Genomic DNA, 27,784 nt, shown 5'->3' on the forward strand with positions numbered 1-27,784 from the left:
AAAAATTTCCCCAAGGCATGTCAGAGATCTTCATGGCAGCCCCTCCCATCACAGGCCACAAGGCCTAGGAGGGAAAAAATGGTTTTGTGGGCTGGGATCAGGCCCCTGCTGCTCTCTGCAGCCTCAGGATATGGTGTCCAGTGTCCCAGCCACTCCGGCTCCAGCCATGGCTAAAAGGGGCCAGACTACAGCTCAGACCATTGCTTCAGAGGGTGCGGGCCCCAAGCCTTGGCAGCTTCCATGTGGTGTTGGGCCTGTAGGTGTGCAGAAGACAGGAGTTGAGCTTTGGGAACCTCTGCCTAGATTTCAAAGGACATATGGAAATTCCTGGATGTCCAGACAGAAGTCTGCTACAGGGGCAGAGCCCTTATGGAGAACCTCTGCTGGGGCAGTGTGGAAGGGAAATGTAGGGTTGGAGCCCCCACACAGAGTCCCCACTGGAGTGCTGCCTAGTGGAGCTATGAGAAAAGGGCCACTGTCCTCCAGACCCCAGAAAAGTAGATCCACTGACAGCTTGCACCATGCATCTGGAAAAGCCACAAGCATTTAATGCCAGCCCATGAAAGCAGCCACAGGGACAAAGCTGCTCAAGGCCGTGGGAGCACACCCCTTGCATCAGCATACCCTGGATGTGAGACATGGAGTTAAAGGAGATTTTGGAGTTTAAGATTCAATGACTGCCTGGCTGGGTTTCAGACTTGCATGAGGCCTGAGGCCCCTTTGTTTTGGCCAATTTCTCCCATTTGGAATGGGAGCATTTACCCAATGCCTGTGCCCTCATTGTATCTTGGAAGTAACTAACTTGCTTTTGATTTTACAGACTCATAGGTGGAAGAGACTTGCCTTGTCTCAGATGAGACTTTGGACTTGGACTTTAGGTTAATACTGGAATGAGTTAAGACTTTGGGGGACTGTTGGGAAGGCATGATTGGTTTTGAAATGTGAAAAGGACATGAGATTTGGGAGGGGCCAGGAGCAGAACTATATGGTTTGGCTCTATGTCCCCACCCAAATCTCATCCCAAATTGTAATTCCCGCATGTCAAGGGAGGGACCTGGTGGGAGGTGACTGGATCATGGGGGCGGTTTTCCCCATGCTGTTTTCATGATACTGAAGGAGTTCTCATGAGATCTGATGGTTTTAATAGTGGCAGTTTCCCCTGCATTTTCTCTTCCTCCTGTTGTCATGTAAGATGTGCCTTGCTTACCTTTCACCTTCCACAGGGATTCTAAGTTTCCCGAGGCCTCCCCAGCCATGAGGAACTGTGAGTCAACTGAACTTCTTTTGTTTATAAATTCTTTAGAGCAGCGTGAAAACAGACTAATTCAAATGGCTTGAGCCTGGGAGCTTGAGGCTGCAGTGAGCTGTGATCATGCCACAGCACTCCAGCCTGGGCAACAGAGTAAGACCTTGTCTCAAAAAAATAGAATAAAATAAAACAAAACCAGCACTCCATACATATACTCCAGACACTGCTCCAAAATTCTCTGCCAATGGTAACAATATCTCCCTAGAAACCCTGGCTTCAAATCCTTGATGCTTTCTTTTCTCCTGACAGTGAATCAGACACAAAGGCCTGTCAGTTCTGTCTTTCATTGTCTTGCAAATTCTTTTTCCATTTTATTGACACTGCTTTCACTCTTAATTTGTGCCCTAACGAACAATTTTATACATGAAGTTTTCCAATGTCTTCCTAACTGGTCTCTCAGTCTCATTCTCTCTTCTGTCACCCTCTACCCCAGTCAATCTCATTAAGCTATCATGTACATTTTTTCATCCCATGCTTTGTGAATATCACTTCCAAGCTAAAAGTATTTTTAGTAGCTCCCATGGCCCAAGCATGGCCTTCTACCTTAGCTAATCTCCATTTCCACTTCTGCCTCTCTACAATCCGTTCTCAATACAGAAAAAAAAAAAATCTTCCAAAAACACAAACCATTTCCTTTCATTCCCTTACCTGAAATATGTCAATGGCAGCCCAATGTATTTAAAACAACAGCCAAAATCCTTAATAAAGGATAAATTATCAGGCTACAAAGCCCTGATAATTTTGTTCCTGCCTACCTCTCCAAATTCATCTTTAACCATTCCCCCTTCTTGTTCTCTATACTCTACCCCTGACTTGCCTCCTTCCTGCCTCAGAGGTGCACTTACTTTTCTTCCTGCTGGAATGTACTTCCCTGGATGGAGAATCACTCAGGTCTCAGCTCAAATGTCACCTACTTCTCCCCACATTACTTTTCACATCACCCTGCTTATTTTGTTCGTGTTCTTATTATAATCTATAATTTTCTTATTTATGTGCTTAATCATGTATTGTACATCTCCTCAGTTTGAAAGTAAACTTTGAGGGCATGAGTTGTCTTGTTCCACACTATCCACAGTATTTCGCATTACCTATTACACACTAAGTGCTCAACCTGTATCTTTTCTGTTAAGTGAATGGATGGTCCAAACGTAAAGTATGCATTCAAACAAGTCTTTCAGTGGAGTCTGGAAGTCAGTATAAATGCTTAAGTAATGACAATGAAAATGAAGGCATTCACTGAAGGTGGACAAAAAATATAACTAAACTAAAAATGTATAGCAAAAATGGGGTACCAATAAAACTGATATTACATTTAAAAAGAAATCAAATCACGTTCATATGACTACTTCTTGAACATCTTTTAATGTCTGAGAAATAGGAATATTTAGAAATAATAAACATTTGTTGACTCCTCCCATAAGCAGGTACATATTAGATAGAAATGCAATATGATATACACCTATTATGTATCCACAAAGATTTTTAGAAATAAGAAATTTTTTTAATTAAAAAAATTTTAAAGATTTACCCAGAAATGAAAAAAAAAAGTAATTTGGGTATTTCACACTTATTTTATATAATATGGAATACTAGCATTAATGCTGTTTTTTTTTTTTTTAGTTCAGAATTTTTTTTTAAAACATATGGGGTCTCACTATGTTGCCCAGGCTGGCCTCAAACTCCTGGGCTCAAGTGATCCTCCTGCCTTAGCCTCCCAAAGTGCTAGGACTACAGGCGTGAGCCACTGTGCCCAGCCTGGAATGTTTTAACAAGTTAAATGTTCAACACATTTGAAGTAAAAAATAACATTTCAGAACATTAAAAACTCATAAACTTATAAAAATACAAGTGTTAAGCATACATTGCCATTCTAATATAAATCAGGGAAAAAAGTGAAACATTTTAAAAGAAACCATATAAAAATGAGGAAAATTTAAATAATCACCAAAAAATTGAGAATTCTGATTTCTTCAAAAGCATAATTTTGCATAAAAATTGCATTACTAGTATCACAACTGAGCTGTGAGCATATTTTTTATTACTTTATCTTTTTTAAAACGGTCTTTATTTTTTAGACCAGTTTTAGGTTCACAGCAACACTGAGCAGATTTCCCATATTCCCCCACCCTGCCACCACCAGAGGGTACCTCTGTTATAACTGATGATCCTACACTAACACATCATTATCACCCAGAGTCCATAGTTTGCATTAGGGTTCACTCTTGGTGTTATACATTCTATGGGTTTAGACAAATTTACAATGACATGTATTCATCATTATAGCATCAGGCAGATTAGGTTCACTGCCCTAAAAATTTTCTGGGCTCTGCCTATTCATCCCTCTCTCTACCCAACCCCTGATATTTTTATTGTCTCTATAATTTTGCCTTTTCCAGAATGTCATATAACTGAAATCATACGGTATGCAGCTGTTTCAGATTGGCTTCTTTCCCTCATAATACGTGTTTTCTGTATCTTCTCATGGCTTCATAGTTTCTCTTTAGGACTGCATAATATGTCATTCTCTGTATGTATTACAGTTTATCTGTTCACCTACTGAAGGACATCTTGGTTGCTTCCATGTTCTGGCAATTATGAATAAGGCTGACATGAACACCCACATGCAGGTTTTTGTGTGGACAGTTTTTCACTCCTTTGGGTAAATACCAAGGAGCATGATTGCTGGATGGTAAGAGTATGTTTAGTTTTTTTAAGAAACCACCAAATTGTCTCCCAAAGTAGCTGTACCATTTGGCATTCCCACTAGCAATGAATAAGAGTTCCTGTTAATCCACATTCTCACCAGCATTTGGTGTTGTCAGCGTTCTAGATTTTAGTTAGCCATTTTAGTAAGTGTGTAGTGGGATCTCATTGTTTTAATTTGCATTTCCCTGATGACATATGACGTGGAGCATCTTTTTCATATGTTTATTTGCCATCTGTATATCCTCTGTGATGAGGTGTCCATTAAGATCTTTGGCTCATTTTTAAAATCAGGTTGTTCATTTTCTATCTTTTTTTTTTTTTTGAGTACAGAGGACTTTATTGATGGTACACGACAAGATAGAGCTCTTTGTGGGGTCTGCATGGAAACTGTGAAGAGGGGAGATTCCCAGTGTGGTGGGGGACTGAGCATGGCAGGGACTGCCCAGAAGCTGAAGGTCTCTTTCTTCCTCTTGTGCTCTCACTGGGGCTGGTTGTCGAGCAGTCTTACTCCTTGGAGGCCATATGGGCCACCACCCTGTTGCTGTAGCCAAATTCACTGTTGTACGAGGAAATGAGCTTGACAAAGTGGTCACTGAGGGCAATGGCAGCCCCAGCATCGAAAGTGGAAGAGTGAGTGTCACTGTTAAAGTCAGAGGAAACAACCTGGTGTTCAGTGTAGCCCAAGATGCCCTTGAGGGGCCCTCTGACGCCTGCTTCACCACCTTTTTGATGTCATCATATTTGGCAGGTTTCTCCAGATGGCAGGTCAGGTCCACAACCAACACGTTTGCAGAAGGACACGGAAGGCCATGCTAGTGAGCTTCCTGTTCAGCTCGGGGATGGCCTTGCCCACAGCCTTGGCAACACCAGTAGATGCAGGGATGATGTTCTGGAGAGCCCCACAGACATATGCCACAGTTTCCCACAGAGGCCATCGAGTCTTCTGGGCAGGAGTGGCAGCATGGATTGTGGTCACAAGTCCTTCCACAATGCCAAAGTTGTCATGGATGGGCTTGGCCGGGGGATTAAGCAGTTGGTGGTACAGAAGGCATTGCTGATGATCTTGAGGCTGTTTTCAGACTTCTCAGGGATCATGCCCATTATGAATATGGGGGCATCAGCAGAGGGGGTAGAGATGATGACCCTTTTGGCTCCCCCATTAAGTGAGCCCCAGCCTTCTCTATGGTCATGAAGATGCCAGTGGACTCCACGGCATACTCAGCTTCAGCATCACCCCATTTGATTTTGGTAGGATCTTGCTCCTGGAAGATGGTGATGGGATTTCCATTGATGACAAGCTTCCCATTCTCAGCCTTGACGGTGTGGTGGAATTTGCCATGGGTAGAAATACTGGAACATGCAGACCATGTAGTTGAGGTCAATGAAGGGTCATTGATGGTGACAATATCCACTTTACTAGAGTTAAAAGCAGCCCTGGTGACCAGGTGCCCAATATGGCCCAAATCTATTTACTCTGGCCTTCACCTTCACCATGATGTCTTAGAGACATGGCTTTGAGAAGAGGATGGTCAGCACTGAGTGACCTCAGCCAGCACCCATACCCACCTCTCTTTTTGTTGAGTTTTAAGAGTTCTTTGTGTATTTTGGATAACAGTCTTCATCATATATGTCTTTTGAAAACATTTTGGGCTGGGTGCTGTGGCTCACACCTATAATCCCAGCACTTTGGGAGGCCAAGGTGGGCGGATCACCTGAGGTCAGGAGTTCAAGACCAGCCTGGCCAACATGGTGAAACCCCGTCTCTACTAAAAATACAAAAATTAGCCAGGTGTGGTGGTGTGCACCTGTAGTCCCAGGTACTCGGGAGGCTGAGGCAGGAGAATAGCTTGAACCTGGGAGGTGGAGGTTGCAGTGAGCCAAGATCGCGCCACTGCACTCCAGCCTGGGTGACAGAGTGAGACTCTGTCTTAAAAAAAAAAAAAAAAAAAAAGAAATGTGTTATTTAATGTCTAAGTATTCAGTGATTTTCCGGCTATCTTTCTGTTATCAAATTGTAATTTAATTCCTTTTCGTCTGAGATCAGATATTGGATGATTTCCATTTTGGCCAATTCCAAAACAGCTACAGCCTCACTCATTACTTTGTGCTTGTACTCTATAGAGATGGTTATCCTATTTACTATTCTGACTATACTTTGGCGCTTTTTTTTTTTTAACATCAGTTATTGCCAGGTGCCCAAACATGAATTTAATATATTATTTTGACTGAAAATCAACTATGTGTTTTTAATTTCCTCAGATGTCCCCTGTCTACCTAGACTCCATTCCTACCTGTTCCACTGGTACCCAACTCCACTACTCTTCACTGCTCATATGCTTTGGAGGGGTCAGTCTTTATTATCTAAGGCCATGTAACATATCACATTCCCTAGCTATTGTGGTTTATTTAAAGGTGAGCAAGTGACCAGTCCAATAAAACTCTTTGCTTGGAATGCCAGAGAAATACATTCACTTTATTTTTCTATGGTGTATAAATGAGATACCTAAAATTGCTTTTGTCATTTTTATATTTCATAGATAGCAAGTATACAGAGTGAGGCAGAACAGATAAAAGGGTCAAGCCTTGGGCTTTTCCTATTACGGGTATCAATAAAGGATCTTTTTAAGACAGTTTAAATTAGGTTTTCTGTTACTTAGAACAAAATATCTAAATGACACAGAATCTGAAGTGGTCATTACTATTTGATTTCCACTCTTATATGCTTCTGTCATTGCTTCCTAAAAAGGAAAAAAATATGGTTTGTGGCACATGTTTCAGCAAAAGACAAAGGTCAAAGGGTGAAGTGCACTGATATTTAACTCTCTTTGAGAAGGAGCTGAATCCAGGCCTAAGAAATCTCATGTTCAGCACAGGAGATTGAACACTGACTGAGAGCTTGGTAAATTCTAGAACTGACCAAGGAGATAACCGAAAAACAAGTTGAAAGGATATTCTGAATAAACAAGTGAAATAAAAATAAGCCTATTGTGGGAAAACTTTTATAAGCAATCCACAGTTTTTGTTGTGTTTAAAAAAAATCAGCATTAACAGCCAATGGGCAAAATACAGCCAAAAGACTGAGGAGAGGGCAGAGGGGCAGATTTAAATTAACGTAGCAGCAATGCTGGGCTACTGGAAAAAAGATGACTGATAGTAGGACTAAAACTGCCACCAAAGTTAAAATGCCTATATAAACTGTTTCAACAAAGTCACACTCAGAATATTTTTGTTTTTTTAATTAAACTTACGCAGGCTGGGTGTGGTGGCTCATGCCTGTAATCCTAGCACTTTGGGAGGCCACAGCAGATCACTTGAGGTCAGGAGTTTGAGACCAGCCTGGCCAATATAGTGAAACCCCGTCTCCACTAAAAATACAAAAATTAGCTGGGTGTGATGGCATGTACCTGTAGTCGCAGCTACTTGGGAGGCTGAGACAGGAGAATCGCTTCAACCCAGGAGGCGGAAGCTACAGTGAGCTGAGGTTGCACCACTGCACTCCAGCCTGGGAGACAGAGCAAAACTCCATCTCAAAAACAAACAAACAAAAACCAAAAAAACTCAGGCAAACCAAAAAAGGCATCATAATGTAATAAAAGAAAATATAGGTTATTTGGCTAGTTTTAATATGTTTACTTTAAAAAATAAAATACAGCAGAGTATCTAATGTCATCAAGACCCAATATGGAAAGGTAGCTAAATAAACCATTCGTGCTCTTGCATTTGTTTCTGATTTACTTGGTACCATACCTAAATAATAATGTGCACAAATCTTTTAATTGATTGTATTCAGAATTTATTAAAAGCACCACTTATTGGATAGTTTATTAAATGCATGCAAGTATCTGTATATGATTTCTTCAGCATATGTGTGTTTAAGGCAACATGAGAGAGAGCCAGAGACAGGAAAGCTGTCCATTTTAAAATCAAATTGGTGTATATCTCCTGCTTATTCAACATGTTTTGGTCTTGGAATTGTTTCTCTAATAATGTACTGGCAAGTCAGACGTTAAATTATTTAAGGTTTCTAAACACTGATTTGGTGGAAGTGCTAACAATCCTTGTGAACAAAGATAAGCTTCAGAAAAACTGAACAGCACTAAAAAAAAGTATCTACTTTGGAAAATAATGATCCTTTGTAATTGATTTTGGTTTTAGATATAAAGTTTACATTGGTAATTCTAATGTCTGTTTACCAGTTTAATTTTAAAAAGTACTTGGCTGGGTGCAGTGACTCACACCTATAGTCCCAGCACTTTAGGGAATCTGGAGCAAGAGGATCACTTGAGCCTAAGGATTCCAGACCAGCCTGGGCAACATAGTGTGAAACCCCATCTCTACAAAAAAAATTTAAAAATAAACCTTGCATGGTGGTGCGTGCGTGCCTGTTGTCCCAGATATTCAAGGCTGAGGCAGGAGGATCACTCGAGCCTGGGAGGTGGAGGGTGCATTCAGCCATGATTGTGCCACTGCACTCCAGCCTGAGCAACAGAGCAAAACCCTGTCTCAAAAAAACACAAGGAAAAAAAAAGTACTTAGCCAGGTGCAGTGGCTCATGCCTGTAATCTCAGCAGTTTGAGAGGCTGAGGTGGATCACTTGAGGTCAGGAGTTAGAGACCAGCCTGGCCAACATGATGAAACCCCATCTCCACTAAAAATACAAAAATTAGCTGTGTGTGGTGGTGTGTGCCTGTGGTCCCAGCTACTCAGGAGGCTGAGGCAGGAGAATCGTTTGATGCAGTGAGCCAAGATTGTGCCACTGCACTCCAGCCTGGGTGATAGAGTGAGACTCCATCTCCAAAAAAAAAAAAAAAGTACTTATCACAGAGACATAACCATAAACTTAAGTTCTAATAGTACTGAAAGTTATTTTAAATAGAAATCTTTTACAAACATCACAATAGTGTCTTTTATAGAATGCCTAGACAAAACCCAGTTCTCTAATTATTTTCCTTATAGGAAATCTAGAAAAAACCTTCAGTAGAATGGTACTAGTATGACAAATTCAATATTATAGTCTCAGAAGTTCTTTCATTTTTAAAGGATAAAAAAAAAACCAAAAGAAAGTCAACATGGAGTCAGTGAAAAAATTCTACACCAGAAGCAAAGAGGTGCACTAGATCTACATGAAGAAAAGCACACCACTGAGAATTACTTACAATAAGAAAATGAAAAAAATCCAGAAAAATACTGTGCTCTCAGGGACATACAAAAAATTAAGAACTCAGGGTGGGGGAAAAAACAGTATTAAAGAGGACTGGGACTAAAAAAAAAAAGACTATAAGTTAAATAAAAACACAATAGAAATTTAAAATCCAAATTATAAGCAGTAAGGAAATCAGTGATGGAAGGGCCTAACTTAAGAAGCTATGCAAAAGAAAAAAGTTAGAAAGGATGTGTGAGATGACAGCAATGAGAACAAGAAAGGAGAGCCAACCAATGAAAAATTCCTGGAGAAAAAAACAAGAGCAAAACAAAAGGCACCAACTTAATATTTTCCTCAGCTAAAAAAAAAAAAAAAAAAAAAAAAAAAAAAAAAAAAAAAAGATTTCCACATCTAAAGGACCTGTTATCTTTTAGATAAAATTATTGGATTTAAAAAATCAGTAGCTATAACCCTAAACTTTGAAATATTTTAATCATTTTACATCTACAATGCAACAGATGGCTGTATTTGCTATGGAAAAGGCACATTTATCCAGTCAGGATGGTGTAAATCTGGTATTTTACTGCGTACCTTGATTATTTTGTATTTGGGTTTGGACATTAACTTGCTGAGGGCAGAAACAAGAACCTGAACTCATGCCTTAAGATAAAAATTGCATTCTTTTTATACACCTACTACATTTGAAACTATGCAGTGGCTCAATCATGGCTCACTGAAGCCTCAATCTCCCAGGCCCATGAGATGCTTCCACCTCAGCCTTCCAAGTAGCTGGGACCACAGGTGTGTGCTAGCACGCCCAACTAATTTTAAAGTTTTTTGTAGAGATGAGCTCTCCCTATGTTGTCCAGGCTGGTCTTGAACTCCTGAGCTCAACAGATCCTCCAGTCTCGGCCTCCCAAAGTGTTGGGATTACAGGCATGAGCCACTTCGCCCAGCCCACCCAAGCATTTTTATGGGCTCTGAAATGTACTACGTAAAAAGGACACGCTTTATTGGTTTAGAAAGTTAAGTATACATTATTATTATGATCAGCAGTAGGATAGCTATTTTATTTCCACCAGTCATTGATTAAAACAATCCAAGTGTAGTAGGTATTAATCAGTAGCTTAAGCTGGAAATAAAAATTTACTATGGGAACGACTACAGTGCTTTCAAATAACCGACATATGAAAAATTTACAGCTAACCTCTTCCAAAGAGCTGTCCATACTGCAGTCTCCAATGCTCTTCCTCCTGTTGTCTCTTGAAACCACACCAATCAGGTTTTCTTCCTCACTATTCTCCTGAAAGTGCTCTTGCAAGGTCACCAAGGACCTTCCTATTACTAAATCCAATGGTCATCTCCTAGTCTTCATCTTACTTGACTTGTCAATCAGCAGGAGGAGACACAGTTGGTCACTTTCTCCCTGAAAAACTCTTTACTTGGCCTTCAGTACTCCATACTCGCTTCTTTTTCCTCCTACCTTCAAAAGCCTCTCCTTTGTAATTATTCATCTCTCCAATATCTGAATGTGGAAAGCCCTAGAGCTCAATTCTCATTTCCTTACACTAGATCTCATAGGCTCATGGCTTTAAATACTACCCTTCTGTGCAGGGGTAGCCAATCTTTTGGCTTTCCTGGGCCACAGTGGAATAACTGTCTTGGGGCACACATATAACGATAGCTGATGAGCTTAAAAAAAAATACAATCAATCTCATAATGTTTTAAGTAAGTTTACAAATTTGGGTTGCACAAGCTTGCATTAGTGACTTCCCAAATTTCTATTTCCAGTTGGACCTTTCTCTTCAACTCCCGTCTCTATAACCCCACTTGAACAGGCATCTCAAACCTGACTAAAACTGGCTCCACCTACCTTCACACTCAGTCTTCTCCATCTCAGTACACTGTTTAACTAAAGCCTTCCAATAGCTCAGGCCAAAGGCCACAGGGTCGTGCTTCACCCTTTCTCTCATAAGCACATCCAAACCATAAGCAAATCCTATCAGCAATACTCAGAATACGACGGCTTCTTACTGCCTCTCTTACTACCCACCTGGTCTAAGCCACCATTCTCTCTGGCTTCAATTACTGCATCAACCTAACAGGTCTCCCTGCTTCCATCCTTGCCCTTACAGTCAACACTGAACACAGCAGCCAGAGTGATCCTTTAAAAACCTTAAGCCAGATCCCCTCATTCCTCTGCTCAAAACCCTCCAAACACCTCCCTTCTCACTCAGAGTAAAAGCAAAAGTCCTTACCTGGGCCCATTAGCTCTCTGACCTTGTCTCACCCTCCTTCCCTCCAGGTGCTCAAATCTACTGGCCTCCTTGCTGTTCCTCTCTTGCTGTCCCTCTAACAAGACTGAAGGGTTCTGGGCTTTTGCCCTTGCTTGGTATGCTCTTTCCCTAGACAGCTGCATGGCGGTCCCCAACGCCTTCAGTTTTGCTTGAGTCTTTTCCATGGCACCAGTCCTTATTTTAAAACTGCACCTGTTCCTTCCTTGGTGCTTCCTATCCCCCTTTGCTACTTTATTTTTATTCCTAGTAACTGTTACCATCTGACTCCAGATACGTTAACTTTCACAAATCCCGCTTATCGTCCCCAACCCCACCTTCCTCCAGTGACATGTTAGCTCCTGGAAGACAAGGACTTCATTTTGTTCACTCTCACATCCCCCAGTGCTTAGAACAGAGCCTGGCCATAGAAGGCACTCAATATACGCTTGCTATATGAATGCCGAATATGCAAATTCTTAAATCTATAATAGGTAAGGCTAAGAAGTTTGGGACTATAAAGCCCAACTTATTTCCACAATGGGAAATACAATTTCCCTTTTGATAAAGAACTGTGAGAATCCTTTGTTTTCCATAGTAACACAATTTATATAACATGCCAAAAATTCCTTATCACTTCACATCCTCTCTCCAGTGCCTTTCCTGTATTCTGTAAAATATTAACTTACTATCATCAAAAAATCTTTGATTTCCCTCTGGTACTGCTACCATAATAATGCAAAGGCAAAGTGAACTCACTAAAAAATGGTATGGAAACATAAATAATGAAGAAATGTAATAAAGTGTGTTAACAACCAAACAAATTCATCTCTATTTCAAATCAAATTGTACTGGCACAGTGAGAACCCCAGTCCAAGTTTAACTTTATTATCACTATAGTCCTTAATGAGCTAACAGTTTTCTTACTAAACTCCTTTTAAACTAAAAAGGAGTTCATGTAGGACTCCTGCATATAACCATGAAAACTAAGCCTGAGAGAAATCAGTTCAGGCTACAAATCTAATTGATAAAACTCTTAGACAGCGCTACATGTTTGGCTAGATAACAGACGCAGGGATACTGAAGTAAGGGAGATGAGACCAAATCTCGCTCAGCCTTTGCTAGCTTTCTGACCTTGGAGAAGTCAGACTCTCGGTGCCTCAGTTTCCTTATCTGTATAATGGAAATGGTACCTGATAGGGTTGCTTCAAGGATTAAAGGTACCAGGTATTTAAAGCAATGGCACCGTGTCTGACATAAAATAAGCACTGAAAATAGCTATTACTAGAACATAAAAATAATCCCCACACCACTCATATTACAGCTCTTTAAGAGGCTCCTAGGTACCACCGTCATTTTTTAAAGATTGAGAAGCGCTACTATTCAATGGCATATTTTTACCTTATTATGTTCTGTAGCCAATTCCGAATACCGTGGAACGTTACAAAAAACAGATGTTATTTTCTTGAGGTACTGTTGGGAAAACCTCAGAGAGAACGATCTGCTTTTTAGCACTGCAAGCCAATTAAGGGAGGAAGTTTGCGATTACCCGAGCCCTAAGTGGAAGGTGTGCAAATCCTTCCTTTTAACCCGGGCACCCCGGAGCCATGTGCCATTCTGGAGAGCTCACTCACACCCCAACAGCTTGTCCCGGCGCCTGAACTGTGCGCTCCTGCAAGCACACGCCGCGAAAGCACCGTCTCGCCCCGGCCGAGCAGCTGGACCTGCGGCGTGGCTTCCGCGCTCCACCCCCCGATTAACCGCGAGCCAGGGCTGCCCGCGCTGCCCAGGGGTTCCCCGGACCACAGCCCTAACCCGCAAGCGCAAACGAGAACCCTCGCAGGCCTCTGCCCGGCCCTCGTGAACACACAGACCGCGAAGAAGCCATCACGGACCCGCGGTCGCTTCCTCGGCCCGGCTCCCTCCAGTCGCCGCGGAAGGTGTGGGAAGCCCGGGCACCCTCGCCCCTCAGGGCCCCGGCCAGGCCTACTGGACCTCCAGTGCTACAGGGACGGTGCAGGAGATATCAAGTGGCTCTAGCCCAGGCGCTGCCCACAGGCCCCGGGCCAAGTACCTGCGACTCGAACGAGCAGCAGCGACAGCGGCAGCTTCAAGGAGGCGGTGACGGGCGGAGGGGAGGGGCCAGACAGGGGTAGTCGGAGTCCCCGCTGGGCCAGAGCGGTCTCGCGCTGCAGCCCCCGGCGCGCCCCCTGCAGGTGGGCGGTCCTCACGGTGGCTCGGGCTGCTCTGAGTCAGAGACTCCGGGAAAGCCTGCTCTGAATTAGGGAAAGCATCAAAACTGTGGCTTCAGAAGAGAAAGACAGCCTAGAAGAGGTTTATCCGATCTGAGTCCGGGAGCATTTTGCACTTTTCACGTCCTATTCTAAATTCACATCCCATCCCCTTAGCTAAATGGGGGCTTCAAAGGCAAGGGCAGTTTCATTAGGTGCTATAAGCATCAATTAATAGTTGCTGGCCTCTAGGTAGGTCTTCTATAGACCCGAAATTGACATATTAGGAATAGCCACTAATGATTGGCTGCACTATTTCTAAAATATAACCCTGCATTTTTACTTTTTTCAAAAGCAGTTTGAATCTTTTTTTTTTTTTTTTTTTTTAGACGGAGTCTCACTCTGTCGCCCAGGCTGGAGTGCAGTTGCTCAACCTCGGCTCACTGCAAACTCCAACTCCGCCTTCCGGGTTCAAGCGATTCGCAGTTTGAATCCTTCCATCCTACTTTGTAGGGTTCCTTGACTTATTGCAACATGTACAGCCAAGACTAACTAAAAGTGTGGTGGGACATTCATATGCTGGAAACATTCTTTCATGCAAAACTAGTTTTTTCTTTTTTTCATTTTACCAACTCCAGTCCTACAGCCAAGACAACTCTCACTGCACAGTGACCGTCCTCTGAATTCTAGCACCCTCATCCAACCAAGCCACGCTCTATGGCAAACTTGTCCAACCCCTGGCCCACACCTGCAGGCTGCATGCAGCCAAGACAGTTTAGAATGCAGCCCAACACAAATTAATAAACTCTCTTAAAACATTATGAGTTTTTTTTTTTTTGCAATTTTTTTTTAGCTCATCAACAATTGCTGGTGTTAGTGTATTTTATGTGTGGCCCAAGACAATTCTTCTTCCAATGTGGCCCAGGGAAGCCAAAAGATTGGACACCCCTGCTCTAGGGTATCTCATGGTTCATTCATTCAAGGACCACCTACACCATCTAATAATTTGTTCTTGAAAGTGTCATGTAAAGGTTTAGGACTATTGTCATATTAGAGGAAATCACTATTACATTTCTTTCATGTAAGAATTATAAGATCTGGCCATGCACGGTGGCTCACACCTGTAATCCCAGCACTTTGGGATGCTGGGGTGGACAGATCACTTGAGGTCAGGAGTTCGAGACCAGCCGGACCAACATGGTGAAACCTTGGCTCTACAAAAATACAAAAATTAGCCAGGCACGGTGTTGCACACCTGTAATCCCAGCTACTCAGGAGGCTGAGGCACAAGAATCCTTGAACCCCAAAAGGCGGAGGTCACAATGAGCCGAGATCTCACCACTGCACTCCAGCCTGGGTGACAGAACAAGACTCCATCTCAAAAAAAAAAAAGTTATAAGATCTTAGGGCATTTCACATTTTATTGTGCTATGACTAATCAGCAATATTACTTGTTAAATTGATGACATTTATTAATCAGTTTGTTATTGATGTCCTCCTTCTGGTTGTGTATTGAGTTTATAATATCTTCACTGATGCCTATAAACTATGACAAATTAGCAAGGAAATTAAAGCTTTTCCCAATGTATTAATAAGATTTACTCTTCATTAGTTGACTCATCCAACAATCTGAGAGCCTCTCCATTACTTCTATTCAAATTTATCTCTTCCTCTTCATGAATTACTGCTTTTGATTGATATGAAAAAATGTAGGGATGGTGAAGACAGCTTTTTTCTCTGATGAGATTAAAGTGAACTGCATGCTGCACATATTCTATGGCTCCTTCATGTTACCACACCTGGGCACTTTGACACAGTGGCTGTTAGGAGCTGATATGGTTTGGCTGTGTCCCTGCCCAAAATCTCATCTTGAATTATAATAATACCCATATGTCAAGGGCAGGACCAGGTGAAGATAATTGAATCATGGGGGCAGTTTCCCCTATGCTGTTCTCATGAGAGCGCGTGAGTTCTCATGAGATCTGATGGTTTTATAAGGGGCTTCTCCTTTTGCTCAGCACTCATTCTGTCTCCTACCACCCTGTCAAGAAGTGCCTTCTGCCATGATTGTAAGTTTCCTAAGGCTGCCCCAGCCATGCAGAATTGTGATTCAACTGTGAGTCAATCACACGTCTTTTCTTATAAATTACTCAGTCTTAGGTGTTTCTTCATAGCAGTGTGAGAATGGACTAATACAGGAGCATTTGCAGAAGCCATTCCTACTCTCCAGCAATAAGTTAATAGTGCATGGAAGTGACCACGAACCACATGAACGTCTCCCATTAAATGCAAACCAAAGTACCCCCAGCTGCATTTCTGTTTAGCTGGATCCCAAAAATGCCTGTAGTCACTCCAATGTTAGCCAGTAGAAGAATACTCCGGAAGTCTCAGTGGAAAGAGAGAAATCTTAATCAATTGTAGGTAAAGTATTTTAATTTTGCAAGCTTTACAAAAACATATAACCATATCAGCACTGCTTCCCAGGGCCTTGGAAGGGGCCTGAACAAGGGAGGGCTATATATTGGTTTCCTATTGTCATTGTAACAAATTACCCTAAATTTAATACTTTAAAACAAGGATTATTTTACAGTTCAAGAGGTGAGAAGTCCAAAATCAGTTTCGCTGAGCTAAAATCAAAGTGCGGGAAGTGCTTTCCTTCTGGAGATTCTCAGGGGAGTTGGTTGCCATGCCTTCTCCAGCTCCTAGAGGCCACCTACGTCCCTGGCTCATGGCTCCTTTTTCCATCCTCAAAGCTAGCAGTGTAGAGCATTTTTACACCCCTCTGACTTCTGCTTCTGTCCTTGCATTTCCTCTGTGACTCTCCTGTCTCCTTATAAGGACCCTTGTGATTATATTGGGCACACTTGGATAATCCAGAATAATCTCCCTATCTCAAGATCTTTCACTTAATCACATTTGCAAAGTTCTTTTTACCATGCAAAGCAACATATTCATAGATTCTGGGGATTAGGATTAGGATGTGGACATCTTTGAGGATCTGTTATCCAGCCTACCACAAGAGCCCTGAAGCTTAAACTTTACACTCTTCAGGTAAGTCTGCCTCTTCTTCCTCATTACTAAAATCTATCTGGTCCTGAGTTTTGATCGTGAGAGTTCCAATGGCGGAGGAATACCTGTAATTACAACCGAGATAAGTGTCATGAAGCGAAAGAGAAAGGATTCCTTGAGGGCAAACAATATGGGAGCTAATTTAGATAGAAGGGCAACAATGTCTTTGAATAAGTGATATTTAATCTAAGATGCAAAGCATGAGGAATTAATTATGTAATGAACAAGGGAAGTATTCTAGACAGAGGAGACGGTATGTTTGGCCTGTGAATCCTGATGGCAGAAAGCTATCACCTTCTGTGGCAGTGTCTCTACCACTGAATCCTTAGCACCACCACGGTGACTGGCACATCAGACATGTTTGGGAATATTAGCTTAGTAGTTTTCAACCTGGCAGCATGTTACAATCATGCAGCAGCTTAAAAAATAACAGTGCCAGCCGGGCGCGGCATCTCACGCCTGTAATCCCAGCACTTTGTGAGGCCGAGGCGGGTGGATCATGAGATCAGGAGTTCAAGACCAGCCTGGCCAAGATGGTGAAACCCCATCCCTACTAAAGATACGAACATTAGCCGGGCGTGGTGGTGGGTGCCTGTAATCCCAGCTACTTGGGAGGCTGAGGCATAGACTTGCTTGAACTTGGGAGCCAGAGGTTGCCATGAGCCAAGATCGTGCCACTGCCCTCCAGCCTGGGCCACAGAGCAAGACTCTGTCTAAAAAAAAAAAAAAAACAGGGCCTGGGCCCTAGCCAAGATCAAGTTAGAATCATCTGGAAGCACGGCCCAGGCATCTGCATTTTTAAAAGCTGCTCAGGGAACTCTAATGTGCAGCCAGGATTGAGTTGAGAATCGCTGTATTAGATACAATTGAGTGAATGAATGAATAAGTGAAAGGAAATATTTGCTTTGGGTAGGCTTTTCATTTAGAAAGTTTTCTTATTAGGGATAAGAAGGGTTTTGACTATATTCGTTATATAAATTCCTATCCAGTCTTAAAAAATGCAGACAGACTTTCAAAAATATTATACTTGAATGCTCATCAGAAGAGACTGAAAGTGATCTAGCAACTATCCCAATGTAACTAGCTGTCTCTGTAGAAAGGCGATATGGTCAGAATGGGGAGGTGTTTGAAAAAAATACACCGCACCTACGAAGTAAGTGTTTTGAGCTCTGCTTTCCTGTTCCAGGGTGCATTTGGTTTCTGTAGTACTGACGAATGACCATGAGAGGGAGACATGCTCCTGACAGGTGTTGCTTCCGTGGGTCTCCCATCTCTCAAGCCCGGCTAGCACGAATCAGGTGTTTTCCACAACACTGTGGGTTCTCAGGCATAACAATGGAATGAGTAAGTACAGGAGATGAGACAAGTAGCACATATTTATCTACACCAAAGTTAGGGTCATTTCCGTTCCCCAACAATTTTAAACATTTAAACAACCAGAAAAAAAAAAATGAAGTGTTTTGTGTGCCGGACATATTTGCGAAACTATTAGAGAAAAAATTTGAAGCCAGGAGAATAATATTTTCCTAGAGCAACTGGCACAACTAAAAAATATTCAAGAAAAACTTTCAGAAAGGGATCTCTTTTCTTAATTGCAAAGTAAAATCTTAGATGTCCTTGGGTTTCTGAAGTTACTAAGATAACAGTTGGACTCTTGGAAAGAAAAAAAACGATCTCAGCTCCTTGCCATAACATCCATTTGTCATTTCTCTTTCCACTTACCTACACATGCCAGAACCACACAGATTGTCACACACACACACAAGGCAAAATATGATGGAATGTACATTTAGGCAAGTTACCTAACATATGTCCTATACACCTTCTAGCCCTGCTGCCTTGGGAATTAAGTTTCCAACACATGCTTTTTGAGGAACATATTCAAATCATAGCAACTGGTTTGATAAATTTGCTTAGAAGCAGGCAAGGAAAAGTAACAGAAGATAACACCAGAAAAGCTCATGGCCCAGGCTCATCTTACCTTTCCTCCAGTTCCTTTCTGGCCCTGGTTTCCTAATTTTGTAATAGTTCAACTCCTTTGAGACCAGGATAGTTCATGGCTTGTTAAGTCTGGGCAAAGGTAAAGTTAAGGGTTCGTGCAGGTCCCAAAAGTCTTTGGGATATCCATTCAGTTCAGATAATGAGGAGAGTTGAGGATTCCAGCAATCTGTGTTGTTAAAAGGTTCACTTCAACCCTAGAATGGAACTTAGCTTACCCCAGGGACTTAAACTGAACTGAAATCTTAGGCTTAGAGGGATCTTAACTTTTACATTAGCCCAAAACAAACTCCTGGCAATCATTCAAACAGAAGCAAAGCACATCTCCTTCTCAGTCTTGAAACATATGCCAGGAACTATATTAGACTTTGCCTCAATTCTGCTCTCCTCCTCTCAAAACACTGATCCTGCGGTTTCATTTCCACCTTTACAAAATTGTGATGCCAATGTCAGGGTAAAGCCTGAGGCTATCCTATTCCGACTTTTGAGGATATAGTCATACTCTGACAACTATTTTCTGCAAATACAACTGAATGAACATATCTTTTGGACACACACTCCTGCCTTATTCCATTCAGGCTGCTATAATAAAATACCACAGACTGGATCACTCAAAAAGAATAGAAATCTATTTCTCACAGCTCTGGAGGCTGAAAAGTCCAAGATCAAGGCATCAGCAGATTCTGTGTCTGGTGAAGTCTTCTCTCTGCTTCCAAGGTAGCGCCTTCTTCCTGTGTCCTCATGTGGCAAAAGCTGAAAGGGCAAAATGCACTAGGGTGTTCCCATCAACCTCCTTTATAAGAGCACTCATCCATTCATGAGGGAGGGCCCTCTTAACTTAGTCATTTTCCCAAAGGCCCTACCTTTTAGTACCATCACTTTGGGGTTTAAGCTCCAACATATGAATTTTGGAGGGACACATACATTAAAACTATAGCAACTCATGACCAGCAAGAAAGGAAACTTTTGACATTTTTATAAGAAAAACAAATAGGTGGATAAGTAATACAAATTGCTCTTAGCCTATGATTTATTTTAAGGCAAACAGAATGAGAAAAGACTCTTAACAATGACTTCAAATTATTTTATTTTATTTTATTTTTATTTTTTGAGATGGAGTCTTGCTCTGTCACCCAGGCTGGAGTGCAGTGGTGCAATCTTGGCTCACTGCAAGCTCCACCTCCTGGGTTCACTCCATTCTCCTGCCACAGCCTCCCAAGTAGCTGGGACTACAGGTGCCTGCCACCACTCCTGGCTAACTTTTTGTAGTTTTAGTAGAGACGGGTTTCACTGTGTTAGCCAGGATGATCTCGATCTCCTGACCTCGTAATCTACCTGCCTCGGCCTCCCAAAGTGCTAAGATTACAGGCGTGAGCCACCAGGCCCAGCCAAATAATTTTATTTTTTTATTTATTTTGAGACAAGGTGCAACCATGACTTACTGCAGTCTGGACTTCACAGGCCCAAGCTGACTTCTTACCTCAGCCTCCCAAATAGCTGGGACTACAGGTGAGTTCCATCATGCCTGGCTAATTTAAAAAAAGAAAAAAATTTATAGAGACAGAGTCTCCCTGTGTTGCCCAGGCTGGTCTTGAACTCCTGGTCTCAAGTAGTCCTCCTGCCTTGGTCTCCCAAAGTGCTGGAATTACAGGCATGAGCCACCATGCCTGGCCTGATTTTTATTTTTCAAAGACCTGAAAAATGAATTTTATTTGTTTATCTGGCAGGTCACAAGAGACATTAACAAAATAAATGGAGTTAGTTGCTTTTTGTGTTTTTGTTTTGTTAGTCACCCAACAGGATTTTTTAAGTCGCAGGTAACAGTTTGCAGTAGGGTAGTAACGTTTTAGGATTTTTCTGTAGTGAATTCACTGCCTAAGATTTTCTCATCCTATCTTCACTGTGAACCCCCAGACTGCATGTCTGTCACCTGTTTTAATTTTGACAAAGAAAAAGGGAAAACAGAGGAAGTTAAAAAAAGGAGGGGGATTAAAAAAAAATCTATGAATCTATGACACAAACAACCCATAGTTAATTGCAAAAGTAACTAATACTTATATTACATGATTAATAAAAATCCAGTTACCTGTAAAAATGTTAGGTTTAACCACTATGATTTGTATCCAGTCAATAATTAAAAATAAACCCTAATTTATAATCTTACTACGTTCTTCCTTAATGTGGTGCTGTGCAAGTCATGGTAGTGGAATCGCTTTCTCTTTATGCATAAGTGGGGTACTTGTTGGCAATGTGCCTCTGGAGAGCATGATGCTCCACCAGCTATTGTGAGGCAACACCCAGGTATCAATTCAATAGCTGATTTTGGAATGGAATTTGCCTTCAGGTAGTTGACTTTTACAAATACTTAAGAAGTTTAATAACTGCCATTTCACTTGTTTTACTCAGCATTTTTGTGTTGTAGAAAATCAAATTCTGAACTTCCCCTGATCAGGACCCAAATACAGTAGTAGATTTCTATCTTCTCTTCCTCTGCACACTAGACACCATGACAAAGGGAATCTCCCCAGAAATTCTGCCAGGACCAGTTTCCAGTGAGGATAAGAGCATGCATGGGCACAGCAAAGCCAACTCAGAGGACGAGTTTCAGCCTGCTGCTCTGAGTGCCTCCGCCCAGACAACTGCTGCAACTCGGAACCCATCAAATACATATGAGCTCGTGTGGACAGATGGAAAACCCATTAGGAAGTACAGCCAACTGTGTGTTACCACATTTCTGGGAAAGAAACCACATTTGGTGCAGGAGCAGTGCAAAATCACTAAGGTCAGCACCTTTAAATCAACAGAATGTCTAACCTCTTTCAAGCTATCACACAAGTAAAGCTATTTGGTTAGCTAAAGACTTTGCCCTACAGAAAAATACATGGGCTAGGGCTAGACCAAAGACCCAAACCCACCAATGACATCATGTACTTTTCTGTAGCTGTCTAATTTTTCTTAAAATTGTGGTACAGACAACTTACTTCATAAGAATACAACTGTTAGCTATTATAAAGTAACTTATGAGCAAAATGTAATTATACCTCAATAAAGTGGGGAGAAAGTACAATTACAAAGCTTAAAAGCCATCTTCTAAGAAATCGTTGGTTAGCCATACTTTTTTTAAGTTAACTCAGCATGTCTTTTTGTGTGTGACAGAAAAGCATACCTACTTTTTTGACATTTTTCTTGGACTATGGGTGACAGGAAGGAGAGAACTCTCCCGTCTTCCACAGTCCTGCGTCCACGCAAGCCACTCCCCTCATGGGCCACTGAATACACGCTGCAGGACAAGGGACAGCTAAAACAGCAGCTGAGAAAGTAGACTTGCCTCTATTGCTGAGTTTTCTTTTGTAGTTTTCCTTTGTTTGGTATTTTAGAATCATTTTGCCACTGTTTTACCACCAAAGGTTGGCACCTACTTGTTTTTTCCACAAATTAGGAACACCAAGCTCTTCTCAATTTTACTTTGAGGGTAATCTTAAGGTAATTTCTAACTGAAATGTTTAATGTAAAATTTGCTTAAATGTCCATGTGGGGATGTGTGCAAGCTGTATGCTGACCACACGCTGATGTAAACTGAGACCTAGTTCTGGGGAGGATGTTAGCTTATATATATATATATGGGATTTTAGAGTTATGAGCCAGGAACCATGGATGAAAACCAATATATATGTATCATAATACCACCAGCCACTGATGGGGACAGTCCTTTAGTCCCTTCATGTTGAGTGTTAACACATACTTGTGAAGGCATGTAAACCAGCCCTTCATTTTATCTCCCCATTCTAGACAACCGATGTTCTAATTAGTTGTTCTACTTCTCTATTACTAAACGTTTACTCTAAACTATCAGGCCACCCCCTGGTTTTCAAACACAGATCCCTTTCATCAAAAGAATATACAGGCCAGGCATGGTGGCTTACACCTGTAATTCCAGCACTTTCGGAGGCAGAGGTAGTAGGATCACTTGAGACCAGGAGTTTGAGACCAGCCTAGGCAACATAGCAAGACCTTGTCTCTACAGAAAAATAATTTTTACAAAAGGACATACAATTCAAAAGATATCGCCTTATTACTAGAATCCCACACAGTCATTAATAATTAGTCCAGTCCATCATTGTGTATGAATGTCTCCCAGAGTAAAGTCACTCAGGTTTGCAGGTTTCCTCTCAATCTTATCAGGTGCCAAAAACAGGAGTGGTCTTGGCACCTAGCCTCACCCTTTGAGGCATCTGGAATAACTGAGCTGAGACATCATGTCATCTTTTGCTCTGAGACTCTTTTGAGGTATTAATGTAATATTGAATTTCCTTCCATTAATAACCTTTTTTTTTTCTTTACTCTCAGCTACTTTTTCTCCTTCTCTCCATTAATACTCAAACTTTTTCACCTTTGGAAGGGACATTAGAATTGCCACTGTGCTGGTCTAGATTGTGGGCAGCAATACTAGTCTAGCAAGTAGCTCCTCCTCAATCCACCGCCATTCAGATAGGGTAAGGTTACACAGGTGCAGAACTAGTGAGCTAGTTTTGCCACCAGAGAACATAGCTGCATTCACTCTTGATCCCAATTTCTTAGATGGGGTGAAGGCACAACCCGCCCCCATTATCCCCTTAGGAATTCAGATACAAAGTTTAAAAATGTAGTTACAGCTTCTTGCTTAGAAATCATCCTTGCTTCCAGCACTTGTAGTTGTAGCCCTGGTCCTAGGATCATTGCATCAGGTAGAGGAGAGAAAAAAAAATTGAGGTTGTTTGGGGAAGAGAGAGAAAATTATAGTCATTATACTAGTGTACTCCTCCCTTGGCAAGAATTGCATAGTCATATCAGCATCCTCCCCAATCCCTCTTCCCAAATCAACCAAAAAAAAAAAAAAAAAAACAAACAAAGAAAACACAAAAATCTAGTGGGGACACTCCTTTAGTCCCATTCATGTTGAGTGTTAGCACCTACCTGTGAAGGTGTGTAAGCCAGCCCTTCATAATTTATCTCCCTGTTCTAGACAACCAATGTTTTATACTCCTTCTACTTCTCTATTACTAAACTATTACTCTAAGGAGGTATCTCTCTGCCCATTGTTGGATATTATGGCTTATACATTGTTCCTTGGTCTGAAGAAATGACAGTTTTCTGTACAAATCCATGCAAGTCTTCAGTTCTTGTTTTTTTATGGTGCTCTGAGCATTTTCATCTTCCACTAAGGAAGCAAAGCCCAGTCCACAGTCAGTGTCTAATTCCTGTCAAGACCAATGTGTAGCCCCCCCAGGGCTACCAGCATCAGTTTCACTTGCCAGCTCTGGTCAGGGCCTTCCCACCAGGCAATCTGCCCCATAGCCACTGGAAGTTTCTGTCTCTCTTGCTGACAAACAGGACAGTTCTTATTGGCATTCTGTGCCTGCAAAGATGCAAAAGGAACATGTTTAGATTCATCCCATCTCTGCACTGCTGCAGTATTCCTATATCCACTCACTTCATGGACCAGGTGATGACCACAAGGGCAGACACGGAGATAACTGCTTGTCTATTCCAGTCACCTTCTCAGCCTGGGGAGGAAGTTCTTCTGATGGGCATTGACTTATTCTCCTTTAATGCACCCCTCAAATTTCTATAGGGCTATGCACCATATGGACATTCCTTTAATAGATCAGATTTCCATAGTCCTCTTGCCTGAGTGTATGGCCAGGCCATTGGTCACTGCTCACGAATCAGTAAAAACCCAAACATGGAGGCTTCTACTACTGTTCAGTTCTTCCATTACTGTAAGAAAGACAGCATGCAGTTCAGCCCCCTCAGCTAATCTGTTTTTACCTTCTTTGATCAAAGCAGCAGCCTTCCAAACAGGAGGATGTTGTCCATTCACTTTGGAAATGCTTTCTGTAAACAGAGCAGCTCCTTATTGGTCAATCAAGAGCTGTTCACAGTGCACTGTCCAAGTGTCTATAGAAACCAGCAGCACCTTACAGTCTGTGTCAGTCCTGGGGGTAAAGAGGCTCCCTGCTCATGAATATCTCCTTCTTGCATTCCCCAGGTGGCATGATCCCCTAGAAACAATTTCCATTTTATTGGGGAACTCTTCTGGGCACTGCCACTCCCTGTAGCATGTTTCTCTGCTGTCAGCTCTTCAATCAAAGCCTGCACATGCTTCCCTCCATAGGGCCCAAAGGGGCTCGGTGGGGCCTGACCACAATTTAATCACCTCTGTCCAATAGTTATTCTCATTATGATTTGTGTGAAATTTTCAAACTCAGTTGTGTTTGCCTGTGGGCAAATTGTTTATGCCAGTTATTTTAGGAGTATAAACAGCAGTAAAATCTCATATGAATGTCTAGAAGTGGAAAGAAGTGATGGTGGATATAGACATTGCAGGAGAAAATGTGGTTGCCTGGGGACCATTTTTGCAGGGATATGAGGAGTGGACAAAGGCATAGGCTGGTAATTGGCAAAGCCATGTCACACCCCTTAGGATTAGCAGTTACTGAAGGATATCAACAGTCACCTACCTGATAAAGCCACGCACCAGCTGATGGCTTCTCCAGTGCTGGGGTGGCTGTGCCGGTGGCAGGGACTACCGCAGAGTGAGGTCCTCACCTCCTGGAGTGATGAGGGGGTCTCACTCGCCATCTTCTCCCAGCACCTGCAGCTGGGGAGCTCACTCTGGCAGCTGAAGTTCTGACTTTTTACGCAATGATCAAGTGTTTTGATCCAGAAGTGATTTAAACTCCTAAATTCCTAGATAAAACTAGGCCCAGTAATCCCCCAAAAAGGCTAATAGCTCCTTCTTCTCTCACATAACTACTAAGAAATGTATCATTTTACAAAATAAGTTTTGAATTTTGTTTCAATTTTTGTTTTATCATGTGCTACCCTAGTTCCTTTATTCTTCATGTTATATTTATATACTGTGGAATGCATGTCATCAATTGTATTTTTCTTCTCATATTCTGACACTGATGATAATCTCAATGTTTGGAAAAAAAACTATTAAATAAAATGCTTCTGTTTTTGTGCATCCTCAAAGGACAAACTGCTCTACATATACTGTAGAGATGCTGCATTAGGATATACATATATTTCTGATCCATCCCACTTCTTAGCTTTATCTCCTAACTACTCCCTTAACCTAAAACTTCGCTAGCACAGAACAAGTTTACTCATTTTTCTACAATGCCACATTTAATCTCCCATCTGTAACTATCCTTCCCTTTCTCTAGGGTGCCCCACCTTTGCTCACATGGCTCTACTCTTTCTTCAAAGTCCCTCTTCCCCTTGGGGCTTTCCTGATGGCCCCGACGTCCTTTGACATGCAGGTCCACACTACGCTGTTGTTGTTGTTGTTTAATAGATATTGGGTCTCACTATGTTACCCAAGCTGGTCTTGAACTACTGGGCTCAAGTGATCGTCCCGCCTTGGCCTCCCAAAGTGCTGGGGTTACAGGAGTAAGCCACCACGCCCAGCCCACATAGCACACTTTTGACACCAACCACATGTTGTCTGGGATTACTCTCTTACATATCAAGTTGAAACATGAAATTGTCAACATAAAACTATTTTTGGCCTACAAAGACAGCAATTATATATGGTTCAATTTATGTGTCTTCTTACTCCAAATACAATTTGTTGCATTCTTGTTTTCTCTGATAGCCTCTTCCATTGTGTAGGTGTTTGCTATTAAAAAGAGATAGAGCTTGACTACTCTTAAATTGGCAAAATAGTAGATAAACTTCCATTTTAATCTGAAGAGGATCCTAGTCCATTAACACATTCACTTAGGATGATTTGAGATGTTTGTGAGTCTCTGCAAAAATATCCTACTACAGCCTAAAATTTAAATATAAAAACTTCCAGTACTAGGAGTTACAGCTATAGGCATATGTTTATAAATATTATAGAATTTTTAATAGATTCTATATTTCAAAAAGATTATTCACAGAATTTTAATCAACAAATTTTATATTCACTGGAATTATTTTGTATTTATTATATAATTAGGTATACAACCCAGTTAGAACATTAGAATATTGTACTTTTTCTAATTACACTATACAGATTCCTCTGATCATCTCCCTTATTGTGGTCTTAATTCTATACATAATTACATTAATTACCATGAGAGAAATGAAGCTAGATAAGGAAAAACCTTGTGAGAAAGTATACATATTTTTAAAGCTAAGAGAATTATAAGGTATCTGATATCAGGTGCAGAGCCTTATTGCTTTCCAAATTAAAACATTCCAAATAGCATGTTGATTATTGAACTGCCTTCAGTACTCTAAGGACAGAATAAAATTATAACAATGGTCAAGCAGAGAACAGGGCAGCGTTTCACTTTGAGTACATCCATATTGGTAGGCTCAGACTTATGTGAGGAAAGAGATCAGTATTTCATCACCTCCTTGCTCTAGTTCTGTGTGGATAGATCAGAGAACCCAGGTTTCTTTTTCAGTGATTCCATTTCTCAGAGCCCTATTCTCCTCCGTTGAAGAGTCACATCTTTAGAAATCGATCCAAAATATCTTTATGATATTTTATGAGACTTTCATTTATGTAAATTCAAAACACATAAAAGACTTCATGAAGCCATATAAAGATCTATTTTAGAGAAAAAATAGAATGAGTTTTATATGAGTTGATTTGAATTTGCCACTTGTCATTTATGAGACATTAAAAACAAACTCTATACTGTCATGACGAAGTGCAAAAATAAAATAAAAACTAACTCTATAACTTGGTTCTTTTTTTTTTTCTAATCTTGAGATTTCCATAGAGTGCTGTGGTATAATACCTTGATGAATACAGTCCATGTTAATGCCAAAAAAATGGGAAGAGGTCAAATTTCCTCCACTGATGGTAGGTAGCCCACCTGAATCCCCAAGTTCTTTCACTGTCTTGAGATAGCCTCCAAGGATATTTTAAAATATGAGAGCTTTCTTCAGAGATCTTCTTCCTTTATGTTCCCAAAAACGCAGTCATCTTTAGCTATCTTAATCTTGCTTTTTCTTGATAGAAAACTAGAATAGTCTTTCTGCTGTGAAGTAAACAGAGAGGTCAGAAAT

The 27,784-nt window shown here is 41.4% G+C and overlaps 2 protein-coding genes and 1 pseudogene across 21 annotated transcripts in view, besides 4 other annotated features; all 3 read right to left on the reverse strand.

The window, feature by feature from the left end:
• ANKRD46 (ankyrin repeat domain 46) overlaps positions 1–13,555 on the reverse strand; it is a 50,008-nt gene extending 36,453 nt beyond the window's left edge. For 3 of the 4 annotated variants that reach the window (NM_001270379.2, NM_001270377.2, NM_198401.4), the window contains exon 1: positions 13,507–13,555. The gene's annotated coding sequence lies outside the window, so the exon portion shown is untranslated. Of the gene's footprint in view, positions 1–12,833 lie in introns of all 4 variants that reach the window. The other variant, NM_001270378.2, reaches the window with a different exon arrangement.
• Positions 4,336–5,529, reverse strand: GAPDHP62 (glyceraldehyde 3 phosphate dehydrogenase pseudogene 62; annotated as a pseudogene).
• Positions 13,457–13,751: an enhancer, noted in NCBI's record as "tiled region #13822; HepG2 Activating DNase unmatched - State 1:Tss, and K562 Activating DNase unmatched - State 1:Tss". NCBI's record gives its function as "activates a minimal TATA promoter and a strong SV40 promoter by Sharpr-MPRA in HepG2 and K562 cells {active_cell/tissue: HepG2 | K562}" and the evidence as "EXISTENCE:reporter gene assay evidence [ECO:0000049][PMID:27701403]".
• Positions 13,457–13,858: a biological region, named in NCBI's record as "Sharpr-MPRA regulatory region 13822".
• Positions 13,549–13,718: a silencer, noted in NCBI's record as "silent region_19419". NCBI's record gives its function as "represses an Ori minimal core promoter by ATAC-STARR-seq in GM12878 lymphoblastoid cells {active_cell/tissue: GM12878}" and the evidence as "EXISTENCE:reporter gene assay evidence [ECO:0000049][PMID:35858748]".
• Positions 13,719–13,858: an enhancer, noted in NCBI's record as "active region_27714". NCBI's record gives its function as "activates an Ori minimal core promoter by ATAC-STARR-seq in GM12878 lymphoblastoid cells {active_cell/tissue: GM12878}" and the evidence as "EXISTENCE:reporter gene assay evidence [ECO:0000049][PMID:35858748]".
• Positions 26,670–27,784, reverse strand: part of SNX31 (sorting nexin 31) — a 90,712-nt gene continuing 89,597 nt past the window's right edge. For 14 of the 17 annotated variants that reach the window (XM_011516899.2, XM_024447085.2, XM_017013161.2 and 11 more), the window contains one exon: positions 26,670–27,756. In XM_011516899.2, the coding sequence (XP_011515201.1) occupies positions 27,661–27,756 (96 nt within the window). In that variant the 3' untranslated portion in view covers positions 26,670–27,660. The remainder of the gene's footprint in view (positions 27,757–27,784) is intronic. The other 3 variants (XM_017013155.1, XM_017013153.1, NM_152628.4) reach the window with 2 other exon arrangements.

This window comes from Homo sapiens, chromosome 8 (genome assembly GCF_000001405.40).
Source record: "Homo sapiens chromosome 8, GRCh38.p14 Primary Assembly".
NCBI classification, from domain to species: Eukaryota; Metazoa; Chordata; class Mammalia; order Primates; family Hominidae; genus Homo; species Homo sapiens.